Source organism: Homo sapiens, chromosome 13, assembly GCF_000001405.40.
Source record: "Homo sapiens chromosome 13, GRCh38.p14 Primary Assembly".
Lineage (NCBI taxonomy): Eukaryota > Metazoa > Chordata > Mammalia > Primates > Hominidae > Homo > Homo sapiens.
In genome coordinates, this window is record NC_000013.11 from 99,247,582 (window position 1) to 99,262,093 (window position 14,512).

General features: G+C 38.3%; 2 protein-coding genes and 1 long non-coding RNA gene across 9 annotated transcripts in view; 1 reads left to right on the top strand and 2 right to left on the bottom strand.

Annotated features, from left to right (window-relative positions):
• The window catches only part of UBAC2 (UBA domain containing 2), a 185,651-nt gene that overhangs the window by 46,728 nt on the left and 124,411 nt on the right, over positions 1-14,512 (top strand). The gene's annotated exons all lie outside the window — the stretch shown is intronic.
• Positions 7,158-10,798, bottom strand: GPR18 (G protein-coupled receptor 18). 2 transcript variants are annotated; one of them, NM_005292.4, is made up of 3 exons: positions 10,573-10,798; positions 8,747-8,938; positions 7,158-8,325 (listed from the first exon to the last, which is right to left on the bottom strand). In NM_005292.4, the coding sequence occupies exon 3, from the start codon at positions 8,289-8,291 to the stop codon at positions 7,296-7,298; it is 996 nt and encodes a 331-aa protein (NP_005283.1). In that variant the 5' UTR covers positions 8,292-8,325; positions 8,747-8,938; positions 10,573-10,798; the 3' UTR covers positions 7,158-7,295. The 2 variants fall into 2 exon arrangements, with proteins under 2 accessions (NP_005283.1, NP_001091670.1); NM_001098200.2 differs by lacking the exon at positions 8,747-8,938.
• On the bottom strand, positions 10,858-14,123 carry LOC124903198 (uncharacterized). The gene is made up of 3 exons (XR_007063846.1): positions 14,042-14,123; positions 12,558-12,667; positions 10,858-11,005 (listed from the first exon to the last, which is right to left on the bottom strand). It is a non-coding gene; the product is annotated as an uncharacterized LOC124903198 (long non-coding RNA).

Sequence of the window (14,512 nt, forward strand, 5' to 3'; positions counted from 1 at the left end):
TCTATGGGTAAGGGGCAAGGGGAGGGAGAGCATTAGGACAAATACCTAATGCATATGAGGCTTAAAACCTAGATGATGGGTCGATACGTGCAGCAAACCACCATGGCACATATATACCTCTGTAACAAACCTGCACGTTCTGCACATGTATCCCCGGAACTTAAAATAAAAATATGTGCTTTACAGCTTTCAGTGTTTTGCACCTAACATCTAATATTTTTCTTTCCCATCAGTACCAAATTTATCTGCACTCTCTATAGTTCTTTACTTCCTATTTAATTCTCTCTCTCTCTTTTTTTTTTTACCTCACCACTATATAGGAACTTCTCTTATAAAGGTCACCAGTGGCCACCTAATTTCTAAAGCCACTGGCCATCCTCTTTAACCTTTCAGTAGCAAATTAAATGCTTTTAACCTCTCGTTGTTTCATGAAACCACCTGCTCTCTTGAGTCCCACACACTACTCCCTCCTAATTCTTTCTGACTTAGTTACTGCGTGCAGCTCTTTTCTCAAGCTTTTTGGGCTATCTTGCCCACTTTCTTGATTTCAACTACAGTGAACGTGTATTGTTTGCTTCCCAGCTGTCTATTTCCAACCCACACTACTCTCCTGATATTTCTTGAGTCTTATTTCCTTTCTTTCTTTTATTTTATTTTTAGAAATGAGGTCTTATTCAGTTGCCCAGGCCTAGAGTACAGTGGTGAGATCATAGCTCACTGTCACCTCAAACTCCTGGGTTCAAGCAGTCCTCCCAGCTCAGCCTCCTGAGTAGCTGTGACTATAGATGTGCCACCATGCCCACCTAATTTTTTTTTTTTTTTTTTTTGAGACAGATTTTCACTCTTGCCGCCCAGGCTGCAGTGCAATGGCGTGATTTCTGCTCACTGCAACCTCTGCCTCCCTGGTTCAAGCGATTCTTCTGCCTTAGTCTCCTAAGTGGCTGGGTTTGCCACCATGCCTGGCTATTTTTTTTGTATTTTTAATAGGACAGGGTTTCACCGTATTGGTCAGGCTGGTCACAAACTCCTGACCTCAGGTGATCGACCTGCCTTGGCCTCCCAAAGTGCTGGGATTACAGGCGTGAGCCACTGTATCCGGCCATTTTTTGTTTGTTTGTTTGTTTTTGTAGAGATGGGGTCTTGTTATTTTGCCCAGGCTGGTCTCAAACTCCTGGCCTCCAGCGATCCTCCTGCCTTGGCCTCCCAAAGGGCTGGGATTATAGGCGTGACCACCATGTCTGGTCCAGAGTCTCATTTCCTGATGATTTATAGACTCAAAGAAAACTCATGTTCAGAAGCTCTCTTCTCTTCTGGCCTCCTCTCTGTCTTCTTTCCCTCTTTCTTCTTATTTTAATTAGTAGCATCTACTCAGAGTCATGCAAGCTGGAAATCTTTCATTTTGCTTGTCAGTGGGGTAGGTCACTGAGTCTTAGTTTTTATTTTTTGAAATTTCAACTTTCAGATTCAGGGGGTACATGTGAAGGTTTGTTTTATGAGTATATTGCATGATGCTGAGGTTTGGGGTACAGATGATCCTGTCACCCAGGTAGTGAGCGTGGTATCCAGTAGTTAGTTTTTCAACCCTTGCTCCCCTCCGTCCTTCCCCCTCCCTTCTTCCCCCTCTAATAGTCTTCCGTGTCTGTTGCTGCCATCTTTATGTCCATGTGTACCCAGTGTTTAGCTCCCACTTTTAAGTGAGTTCATGTGGCATTTGATTTTCTGTTCCTGCATTAATTTATTTAGGATAATGGCCTCCAGCTGCATCCATGTTCCTGCAAAGGACATGATTTCATTCTTTTTTATGGCTGCATAATATTCCATGGTGTGTATGTACCATATTTTCTTTATCCAGTCCATTGCTGATGGGCACTTAGGTTGATTCCATGTCTTTGCTATTGTGAATAGTTCTGGAATGAACATGTGAGTGCGTGTGTCTTTTTGGTAGAATGATTTATTTTCTTTTGGCTACGTACTCAGTAGTGGGATTGCTGAGTGGAATGGTAGTCCTGTTTTAAGTTCTTTGAGAAATCTCCAAACTGCTTTCTATAGTGGCTGAACTAATTTACATTCCCACCAACAGTGTATAAGTGTTCCCTTTTCTCACTTATATACAACAGTGTATAAGTTTCCCTTTTCTTCCCAGATCTCACCAGCATCTGTTGTTTTTTGGCTTTTTAGTAGCCATTCTGACTGGTGTGAGATGGTATCTCATTGTGGTTTTGATTTGCATTTCTTGATGATTACCTTTGAGCATTTTTTCTTGTGTGTTGGCCGCTTGCGTGTCTTCTTTTGAAAAGTATCTGTTCATGTCTTTTGCCCACTTTTTAATGGGGTTGTTTTGTGCTTGTTGAATCAAGTTCCTTACAGATTCTGGACATTAGACCTTTGTCAGATGCAGTTTGTGAGTATTTTCTCCCATTTTATAGGTTGTTTGTTTACTCTGTTGATAGTTTATTTTGCTGTGCAGAAGCTCTTTAGTTTAAATGGGTCCCATTTGTCAATTTTTGTTTTCATTGCAATTGCTTTTGAGGACTTAGTCACAAATTCTTCCCCAAGGCCGATGTCCAGAATGGTGTTTCCTAGGTTTTCTTCTAGGATTCTTATAGTTTGAAGTCTTACATTTATATCTTTAATCCATCTTGAATTAATTTTTGTATGTGGTGCAAGGTAGGGGTACAGTTTCATTTTCTGCATATGACTAGCCAGCTATCCTAGCACCATTTATTGAATAAGGAATCCTTTCACCACTGTTTAGTTTTGTGAACTTTGTTGAATATCAGATGGCTGTAGTTATGAGGCTTTATTTCTGGGTTCTCTATTCTGTTCCACTGGTCTGTATGTCTGTTTTTGTACCAGTACCATGCTGTTTTGCTTACTGTAGCCTTATAATCTGAAGTCAGGTAATGTGATGCCTCTGGCTTTGTTTTTTCCTTTTCTTTTTTTTCCCTTAGGATTGCTTTGGCTATTTGGGGCTCTTTTTTTGGTTCTATATGAATTTTAGAATAATTTTTTCTAATTCTGTGAAAAATGACATTGTGGTTTGCTAGGAATAGCCTTAAATCTGTAGATTGCTTTGGTCAGTATGGCCATTTTAATGATATTGATTGTTTCAGACCATGAGAATGGAATGCTTTTTCCATTTGTTTGTATCATCTTTGATTTTTTTCTTTTTTCTTTTTTTTTGAGACGGAGTCTCACTCTGTCACCCAGGCTGGAGTGAAGTGGTGTGATCTTGGCTCACTGCAGCCTCCGCCTCCCAGGTTCAAGCAATTCTCCTGCCTCAGCCTCCCGAGTAGCTGGGATTACAGGCGCCCACCACCATGCCTGGCTACTTTCTTTTGTATTTTTTAGTAGAGACGGGGTTTCACTGCATTAGCCAGGATGGTCTCGATCTCCTGACCTCGTGATCAGCCTGCCTCGGCCTCCCAAAGTGCTGGCTGGGATTATAGGCATGAGCCACCAAGCCTGGCCATCTTTGATTTTTTTCAGCAGTGTTTTGTAGTTCTTGTAGAGATCTTTTACCTTCGTGGTTAGATGTATTCCTAGGTATCTTTTTGTGTGTGTTGTGTTCTTGGTTTGACTCTCAGCTTGAACTAAGTTATTGGTGTATAGAAATGCTACTACTGATCTTTCTACATTGATTTGGCATCCCGAAACTCTAGTGAAGTTGTTTCTCGATTCCTGGAGCCTTTTGGCAGAGTCTTTAGGGTTTTCTAGGTATAGAATCATATTGTCAGTAAAGAGAGATAGTTTGGGCTTTCCTATTTGAATACCTTTTCTTTCTTTCTCTTGCCTAGTTGCTCTGGCTAGGACTTCTGGCACTGAGTCTTAGTAATTCAAAGTCCTAAATGAATATTCATCCCTTCTTCTCTACTTCTACTGTCATTATTATCCCAGTCTAAACTCTTAAATCTTTTCTTGTCTACTTTTTTACAGTAATTCTCTTAACTAGTTTCCCTGTGAATTTGAAAGCATTCCATACAATGCTGTCAGAAGTTATCTTTCTAAAATGCAGGCTTAACCACACTAGTTCTTTTAAAAACCCTCAAATTCTCATTTCCATCAGAATAAAAGTCAGATTCCTCCAAGATGCTATCTAGGCAGTCTGGAATAGTGGAAATAGCATGGTCTTTGCCATCAGACCAGATTTGAGATTCCAGCTCTGCCTCTTACTAGTTATGTGAAATCTTGAGCAAGTTGCTTCTCTCAAGCTCCATTTCCTGAGCTCAGTTTCTAGATGACCCTCACATGTCAACTGTGGGTATTCTGTGCTTCAAAGGGTAGCACCGAGAATTAAAGAAGGTCTCTTACGCCAAGCTTCTAGGAGCAAGCGTATACCCCTTCCATGTATTGCTTTTCTTAAGAGACAAGGTCTTGCCATGTTATCCAGGCTGGCCTTGAACTCCTAAGCTCAAGCCCAGTCCTCCCACCTCAGCCTCCTGAGTAGCTGGGATTATAGGCACGTGCTACCATGCCCAACTCTTCTTTCCTTTCAGAGTCCTCCTCATCTGACCACCAGCTAGTCTCTCAAACCACTTCCCAACTGGTCATCCAGCTTTCTTCGCTTGCTACGCATTTGCATTCTCATGCCTACTTGGCTTGCTTTCTGCTTCCTCTTGCCCTTTGGCAGGATTAATTGTCCTTATATGTGTATTACAACACATGTGTTAATTATCTCTGTTAGTATTTATTATATTACGTTGTCATGGTCTGTGCCTTCTAGGCTACCCACTGGCTGTTTGAGGGGGAACCAAGTTTTACTTTATGTACTCTTTGCCCTACATTTAGTAATGTTGAAGAGCAAGCAAGCCTTGATTACAGTGTAGCCCCAGTAAGACTGTAAGGGAAGGCCTTTGAACCACAGACCTGTTCATTTCTTTTTCTAGTGCTTTGCTTAGAAATTGTAGCTGACATGATAGATGCTCATGACTATGATTTAAACTCAGAAAATGTAACCATTAGGTTTTGAAAGTAGAAATAACTCCATTATTAAAAGCCATATGTGTTAGGCATTTCTAGTAACTCATTCCTGCCACACATCTGGCCTTATATACCTATTATTTTTTGTTAGTATTTATATGTGGATGTTACATCGTTTTCCAGAATACAGTGAAATTTTGAATTTTTACATATTATGTTTAAATGTATTTGGTTATAATGCTAAGTAAATTATTTAAAAAATAACTTTTAAGTGATCTACAATTAAATTATAATTTAAATTATTTACAGTTTTACTGTGAGAATCACAGCATACATTTTCACTTTCTTGATTTTGTATCAATAGAATCTTTTGTTGTGCTTTTTGCTCTGAGACTAAACTCTTCTTATCAAGACAAGCTATGGCAGAGAACTTTTCCATCTAATAAATTTAAGAGTAGATTCATCTGTATGGTTGAGAGTAGGCTCTGACTATGTATATGTGTATAATAAACCTACATATCCAATACAAGAGTTGTTTTTCTTGTTTTAGAAATAATTATATGTTAAATATATGTAAGATATACAAATAATATATAAAGATATAATATCTATAAAGGTACTTTATGTATATAAAATATAAAAATATATATATTTTACTCATTTGACTATTGAAACTAAAAACTGTGTTTTTCTCTTTATTGAGAAACTGCATCTCAGTACCACCTTATGTAGCTCTGAGAATGTTTACATTCTTTAAGCATGTTTGCTTTTTATTATTGAAAAATTGGTGTTTGACATGAAAGAACTGACCTTGGTTTCTAGGTGTGGTTCTTGAGCTGAGCAAGTCACATAACCTCTTCAGACCTCAGTTTTTTATATTTCGAACAGAAGAATTGTACTAAGAAGATTGTCTAAGGGACCTTCTAGTGCAAAAATGCCATTTTATTATTAGACTTTTTGTGTTTATCTTTTTTTTTAAGGAATATGAATTTACCTATGTTATTTCCAGAAATTAATTTCTTTTTTTTTTGAGACGGAGTCTCGCTTTGTCACCCAGGCTGGAGTGCAATGGCGCAATCTCGGCTCACTGCAGCCTCCGCCTCCTGGGTTCAAGCTATTCTCCTGCCTCAGCTTCCCGAGTAGCTGGGATTACAGGAACCTGCCATCATGCCTGGCTAATTTTTGTATTTTTAGTAGAGATGAGGTTTCACCATATTGGCCAGGCTGGTCTCGAACTCCTGACCTCAAGTGATCCGTCCACCTCAGCCTCCCAAAGTGCTGGGATTACAGGCGTGAGCCACCACGCCCAGCCAGAAATAAATTTCTAACCAATGCATGTATTTGGTTCTAAGCCCCAGTAGGATATGATCATGTTAAGAGTGATAAAGGTAATTTAGCAGAGAGGAAGTTATAGTTGAATCATTTATTTTACTTCCATAAGTATTCAGGATAATAGGGGCTTTACAGATTATAGTTCAGTTTTTTTCTTTTAGATGGATAAGTTACTTGGTTTGTTACTTTATTAGGAGAAATTAAATGGCAAGGCTAAGAAATCCAAGGTTCCTACTAGTACTATTTATACTGTGACATATGGCCTGGGAAAAAAAATCAATTAACTTCTTTTGTAAAAATGGTATCTTCAACCACATAAGAAGAGCAAACTGTTTGTATTGGAGAATGGCATTTCACCATATAGTAGAAACCTCAAATGATAGAAATGAACTTGGATTATTGGATAGAAATAGCATCTCAGGTTAGATTTTCATCATTAGTCCTAAATAGGGTTTGGTGCATAGTAGGCTCTCAGTGTTTGTTGAATGACTATTCTCTGTTTTTAAAAGAATGAATTCAGAGTAGGGAAGGGCTGATGGGGATGGCTGTAACAGGCCCCTTGGGTTCTTGTTGCTATTAATTTTGCCTTGTAGTAAGTAACAGTAATGAGTTCAACATAATTTCTTATATAGGAATTCTGGAAGTCAGTGTTTGGGACATAAAGTATTGGATTTATAATTCCATTCCTAGTGCAAATTAGACCTAAGGGAGCTGCATCTAGATAGAAAATAATTTAATCAAATTATTTTGTATGGTAGCTCGATTTCCCCCCTACTGACTTGATTAACACACATGTGTCGCTTGCACATAGAAATGCAAAAAGTTAATTATCTGTGTGAACAAGGCTTGACTAGGAAAGAAAAATCAGATGCTTTTCTCTGAATAATTCACAAAAATGTTTTATATAAGTTTTTAAAATGAAGATAATGAATTTATTTTTTCAAGAGAAAAGGGACTTGATAGTATTATACAGAATATCCATTGACGCCAGAGTAGTTAGTGAAGTGAATTTTGATGGGATTGAAATGAAAGAACCTTATTATTCATAACATTTCACTGTTTATATTGCTTAGTGACCGTAGACTACCAGATCGGAAACTTTTTCTGCGCATGCTTCGAAGGTAATTACGGTATAGCATGACACTAATGACTCGAGCCTGAAATTGTTTTGAAACGATGTAGTAGAGAATCACATCCAGACACGTGCTGAGGTTCATGAGGAAGGTGGTAAAGGCTCCCCAGGGATTGTAACTGTTCTCCCCCGTTCCCAGCATCAGGAAAGCGAAACAGATGTGGAAGGGCATAAAGCAGACGAGCACCTGCACCAGCAGCGTGATGATGATCCTTATGGACTTCTCCTTGACTTTGGGTTTCAGCTTAGACGTCCTGCCGTGAAGGAGATTATGAATAATGACCAAGTAGCACCCAATCATGATGAACAAAGGAATCAAGAAAAAAAATGTCAGTCGAGTGAGGTTCAGCACGTTCACAGCTTTTAGATAGATGATGTCAGAAATCTTGAGGCAGGTGGCGGGAGTGGAGTCTTTATCTGGGTCTTTATAGAGCAGTAGCAGAGGGGTGGTCGTGGTCAGGGTCATTATCCAGACTCCCACACACGCCAGCACGGCTTTGCACGTGTTTTTAAGTTCTTTGGCGTACTTCGGCTGTACAATGGCCATGTATCTGTCAGCACTAATAAAGGCAAGAAGCCATAAAGCAATGCTTGGGTAAAACACTGTGAGAGCTCCAAGAATCTGGCAGAAGTACTCTCCAAATGGCCATTCATCTTTTGCATAATAAAACATTCGAAAGGGTAAAGTCATTATAAATATCAAGTCCACTAATGCCACATTCATCATATAGATGGTTACCGTGGTTCTCTTCTTGGTGGTACAACTGAAAACCCATAATGCAGTGATGTTAACAAATAATCCAATTATGAAGATACAGCTATAGAAGACAAGGGCTGCAATTTTGTATTCATCTGGATGTGAGCTGTTAAAAGGGACAGGTTGATCTTGATTGTTCAGGGTGATCATTTTACAGCTTGTTGGTAGGCATGATACTTAGAAACTGTAAAAATAGTTAAGAAAAATAAGAATAAAATCGTTGGTTAAAAAATAAATGCTTAACATTCTCCCACTCAGCTTGACTGCCAGTGAATTTTAAGTTCGAGAGCATTTAATCAAGGAACGATTCAACTGGTTAACTACTGAACATTCACAGTAATTCTCATTTGAGAGAGAATGGGAACTTTTCCTTTGTTACAGCTATAGCCCCACTGTCTATTGAGCATGTAATAGGTACTCAATAAATAAATATTTACTGAATTGATGAATAAATGAAGGAACTTTTGATGAGATGATTCACAGCAACTCTACTTTGCTAAAAAACTCTAGTTTGTAATTCTCTAGTTTGAAAATGAAGACTTGTGTAGCTGGCTATTAAACTTTTTGTTTTTTTTAAAGTGGAAACACTTCATAATATTTATTACCTTATGTTCTCTTTAAATTATCATAGGTTGAGAAACAGCAATGTTTTGTGTCATGGTCAGCAGATCAAGAACTAGACTGTTAGAGCAATAGATGAGCTGTTTTCTAGTGCACAATTGGGAGTACGTAAAGCCAAGTCTTCCAGGTTTTGTGATTTCAGCTGCTCTACTTCAGTGGTTCACAGAAAGCAGCACCTTGAAAAAAGCTAGTGCCGTTAGTAACTTTCATATCCTCATTCCATCTAGATTCAGAAGCTTCAATATTATTTAAATTTTAACAATTTTCAAAGTAAATCCAAAAAAGGAGTATCTAAGACAAGTAGATATTAATAAGAAGTCATTCAGTAACTTGATGTGTATGTAGAAACTTATAAATTTCCATCACCAAAAAAAAAAAAACCGTCCATTTTAAATGGAAAGGAGGTTATTTGGGGTTGCAAATATCATTGACTCCTCAGTGTGAAACTTCATTCCCCCATGATGCAACACCAACAACAGACTTCAAAAATAGACTTTGCTGCAATGAGATGGAATCTGTGGCATCCCCTTGTAATATGGAGGTGGATGAAAAGTTTCCTTCAAAAATGTCACTTTGCAGAGTGGGCTGTCTTGAAATCAGCCCAGAATTTCTCTTTAAGGAAAACTATGGGGGAGATTTGCTGTCTGTGGTCAGTGGCATCACGGGCTATTGATAATTAAGAATTAACTTGAGCAATTGCTGTGGTTAAACACAAGAAACGTGCCTGTCTGCCTTCCTTCCTTTCCCTTCCCTTCCCTTCCCTTTCTTCCCTTCTTCTCCTTCTTTCCTTCTCAAATATTTAGGTTAAATATGATTTAGGAGCATAATTCTATATATTTAAAAACATATTAAATTTTCCAAATATTGGTGTGACTAGAATATTAATTTCTATCAAATGAGGAAAGTGCTACAGAGAAAAATTATATCTCTAGTGTCATTCAAAGGAGAGTAATCTTGGAGGCTTAAATCTTATTTTTAACTGGAATGCATTCTTATTAAATAGTAGCAATTATAATATAAATGAAATTTTGTATTTGTTTTTCTTTTTTTAGTATTGCATCAGGACTCCCTTCACCTATCCTCATCCTTCAATTTTGTGACATAAGTCCTGTACTTACAAACCATCTTGAGTCTTTTTTCCCACGTTATGCTCAAGCTGTTTTTATGTAGCTTGTCACCAATACTTATATTCATTTGCTGACGTTTGAAAAAAAATGAGTGATGCATGTGTTTTAAAGGCATTATAGTATTGATTGTGCTCTGCAAACACAGAAATTTTTGGATAAATATTGAAAAGTGATTGACTTTAAAGTCAGCTTTTTAAAAGCTATAGATACCATGATTATCTGTAGCTTTTCTTTTCTTAAAAACCATTAAGTTATTTCATGAAACAATGTAATTGAAAACATGTGATGAACATTCCTAAATATACATATGATTTACCATAAACATTTTCTTTCCTTAAGTTGAAAAAAATTACATTTAGTATTAATGTAAAGCAATATTGAAAATAAATGTAAAATCATATTAATGTGGAAAGATGATTATATAGCCTATTTCAAGGTCTTTCACCAACATAGTTTGTTATGTTTATTTTTTTAATTAAATATATTTTTTTAATAGAGACGGGGTCTCACTATGGTGCTCCTGGGCACAACTGATCCTCCTGCCTTGGCCTCCCAAAGTGTTGGAGTTACAGGCGTGGGCCATTGCGCCCAGCCTGTATTATTAAAATGAAATGATTTTTGAAATGCAGTACATAAAGCATTACTTTTGACAATAATCATGAAGTTAATTAAATGCTGCTTACCTCCTGTCCATCAAAAGTCTGTGTGAGAGATGAGCATTTTTCAGCACTTCCACTTCTGTCGAAGGGATATCTTTGAGTTGCTTCTGTTAAAATAGCTCTTTCTGGAAACAGTGTATTTAAGAAATGTTGTATTTTGTTTTAGACTCTTTTGTTGCTTTAAAAAGTAGTTTCCAGTGTAACGCTTGGCGTCGGAGTTGGTGCTGGGCTGACTTTAATTGCTGCTTTGTCTCTTTCAGGAAGTGCTCTCTGAAATAGGCTTTTTCACCTTATGACTTTACCCTGGATGTGGTTTTTCTCTTTCACAAATGATTTGTTTATGAAGTCACACTTAGCATAAGCTCCCCTTGAAATGATGGCATATATTTAAGATAATTATATACAAAGGATAAAGTTTCTTCAGTTTGTGTACTTTGATGCTTGAAGTCTGCATCATCTATGGAAAGAGAAGATTTGATATTGAGTAAAAGGGGGTTTAAAGTCTAGCTTCTTTGCTTTATAAGCTATGTGACTTTGTCTAGTTACCTACCCACTCTGACTAACCCTTTGTTCCTACTTCATTTCTGTACAGTTGAAATAGAGATAATACTATATCCAGTAGGATTGTAGGGGCCCTAAACCAGAAAGATCCCAAGTGCTTAATAGTACCTGGCACTTAGTAGGTACTCCTAAATGGAGTCTCACTTTTTACTACCAAGTTATTAAAAATCATAGAATATCCACATTTCCACTTTTTACTATTTAAACATTTCTAAATGCTTAAAAGTAGGATCCTTGATTAATTGCTTCTGCTTTGCCACATACATTTATCCACTTTAGTTTGCTGTATTTTGTAAGTCTGCTTTTCTAGTGCGTGGAAGTCTAGAAATAATTTCTTTTGCATAAAAATTTCTGCAAATCTTAGCAGAAAGGACTCTGAAGTCTTTAGTGGACTGATTTACATATTAAGAGTGTTTTCACCTAAGAAGGGAAATGAAACCAGCAGAAAGGGAAGTGAGCAACGAATCGCTGCCTGCCTTGTTAGGTTAATTTTGTTTTACTTTCTCATTTCTTAAAAAAAATTATCTCTCATTTGCTTATCCTAAAATTTTAATTATCTTTATGTTTGGTTATGCATGGTTTGTCAACTTTTTAAAGGGTTCATGAACTTAAATGTATTTGTTTTTTTGAATTTTAGACAGTTTGGGGTCCATCCTTTTTTTTTTTTTTCTCAGACAAAACCATAGTAAATCTGTGGCTTAGAAAAGTTACTTAAATCCTTGCCTTTGGTGATAAAATACTTTTGATTGTTACAACCTGCCAGAATGATGGGTTTTAGAAGTGTTGGAGACAACCATAGCAACTATTTCTTGTGTGGATGAAGAAATTGAAGGCCAGTTACTTGCTTAAGAACTCAAGGTAAAGCCAGGTCCAGTTTCTCCCGCTGTAATAACTTCTTATGAGGTAATTATATTGATCTGTCCACTAGATAGGACTTCTTATGGCTGAATCACATTCATCAGTTTTTTATATGTGATGTTATATTTCATTCATCACACAGGAGTTTGATGTTTCAGCTGGACAGAAATCTGCCTGCATGCAGACCTAATCTGTCCTTTGCCTTATTCACATAGCTTAGGACTTTTCTAAAATTAAGTATTGATTAGCTTCCCCATTGCTGCTAAAATCAACAGATACATTGATGGCATGTGTCTAGAAGAGTCCTTTCATCAAGACTTGAATTCTTCACGGTGCACAGGGGCATTCTTGTTTCTGAATTGCCAGACTCTTAGAGGAGGCATCCAGGAGCACCTGAGGGCTCTCCATAGGCCTGGCTTCAGGTTGGGGTGAGCTCTCACTTTTTCCTCATCTTGCTCTCCATTCCAGCCCTCTGGACTGGCTACATTTGCTCTTCCTGCCTCTCACATGCTGTTCCACCCACTGTGGCATTCCTCACCACTGTCTCCCACCTGATGGCATGGCCTGCTGCTCTTTGTTCTTGTAGCTACCTTTTTCAGGAAGCTTTCTCTGCCATCCGAAGCTGGGCTGGTTTCTCTGCCCTCCGAAGCTGGGCTGGTTGTTCATCCCTGCAGGTTTCCTTAGCACTTGGTACCTATCCCTGTAGTGGCACATGTTTGCATTGTTACTGCATATTTACTTGCTTTTTCTCCTCCACTAAATTGCATTCCTTGAGAGTTGGCATGTGTTGCATATGTGTGTAGAGAAGAGGCATTTAATATTGGTTGAATTTCTGACTGAACAAGTAGGTGAAGAAATGGAGAGGTTGGGGGAGGAATGGATAAATGTCTGGGCCTTGAGTCAGCAGGCAGGGACACTTTGACCAGCTTATGAGATGGGGAGACTTAGGCAAGGGCCTGAGGTCTGTCGTCCTCCCCTGCAACCCATGAGCCCTATAGCATTGACCCCCGTTCGCTGTGCTCCTGGATCTTCGCGATGGTTTTGTGTTGGCAGGGAATTATAGTGAAAAGAAACTGCCCAGTCATTTGACAGCAAGTAAACAATGGGTCAAGGATTCAACTTGTATAATGTAGACACAAGTTTCTTTAATACTTGAACCTAATGAATTTTTTTTTTTCCCCAAACAGAGGAACTTATTCAGGGACCATTCATGCAGCTTTAATTTCTTCACTTACTTTGGAATATGAGTGAAGGAGAAATGTTTCACTTGCAAAAGAGGGATTTTACTTATTCCCAGAGACTGCAAGATTCCCTTTGCTTTATCAAATAGTGTGTTTTAGCTGCAGTTTTGGGTTTTGGTTTTGATATTAAAAGCCATAAGTGAATTTTGATTTTAGCCCTATAAACCAGTTTTTGAGTGAATATAATTCAGTTAAGCCAGTTTTTAATGAGAAAGAATGTAGTTAATAGATCTGTATAGCAAATTCCCACTATAAAATATGCTTCTATGTTAGACATTTGTCTATGCCACAGGTAAAATAATATTTCCTGTTCTGTTAGCATAGCAAGTGTGAGGGCAGCTTATCCTTGTTGCCTCCCATCAGTGCGGGGACCAGGGGTCCACTGTTGTTACTGTTCATGTATCCCAGCAGGGGGACAGTCAGCACACAGCCAGTCCCCAGGGAGAAGAGGGTGTGAGGCAGACAAAGAGTCCTCTGAACTAGAGGAGAGGCCTATCCTTTGGCCTTGACATCCTCCAACCTTTGTCCCCTCCTTTCTGTTTCTCAAACTTGTATCTAAACTGACTGCTCTTTGGGTGTGGGTGTAGGGGAGATATGTTGAATAGTAAGAGTTTCTGCATAAAGAAGATTGAGAAACTATTTGTCTAAATGTGTGGTTTTTCTTAAGTCCCAACAATTTACAGCTATAATCTTCTAACCCAGTTAGTATACCTCCTTTCTGTTTGGTTTCCTAAATTGTATTGTAAATTTAATATTCCCAAATTTCTTGTCTTTAGCAATTTTTGTGTGTAGTTTTAAAGATGTATAGACATGTAGACATTCAGACACTTAACCTCACAGCAAACAAGTTGAATCCATATCTAACCATATATAAGTGATGGCAGTGAAATCAGTCCTGGAACCACTGAAGTCCCATGGGACCCCAGGCCCAGAGTTTGCAGTGTGACATTTTACTATTGGAAGAGAGATCCAGAGTCGCCAAGGCAGCAGATTGAGCAGAACTCCATGGTTATTGTGAGGCACACAGCCTTCTGCTGCACATTCTGATCTCACAGTTACCAGAGGTGCAAATGGAGATGGGTATACAGTAGTCCCCTTATCCGCAATTTTGCTGTCTGAGGCTTCAGTTACCTTCAGTTACCTTCAGTCAAATATGGTCTGAAAATATTAAATGGAAAAATTCCAGAAATAAACAATTCATAAGTTTTCTGTTGCATGCCATTCTGAGCAGCAGGATGAAATCTCTCACTGTCCCGCTCCTTCCTCCCCAGGACATGAGTCCTCCCTTTGCCCAGTGTCTCCAC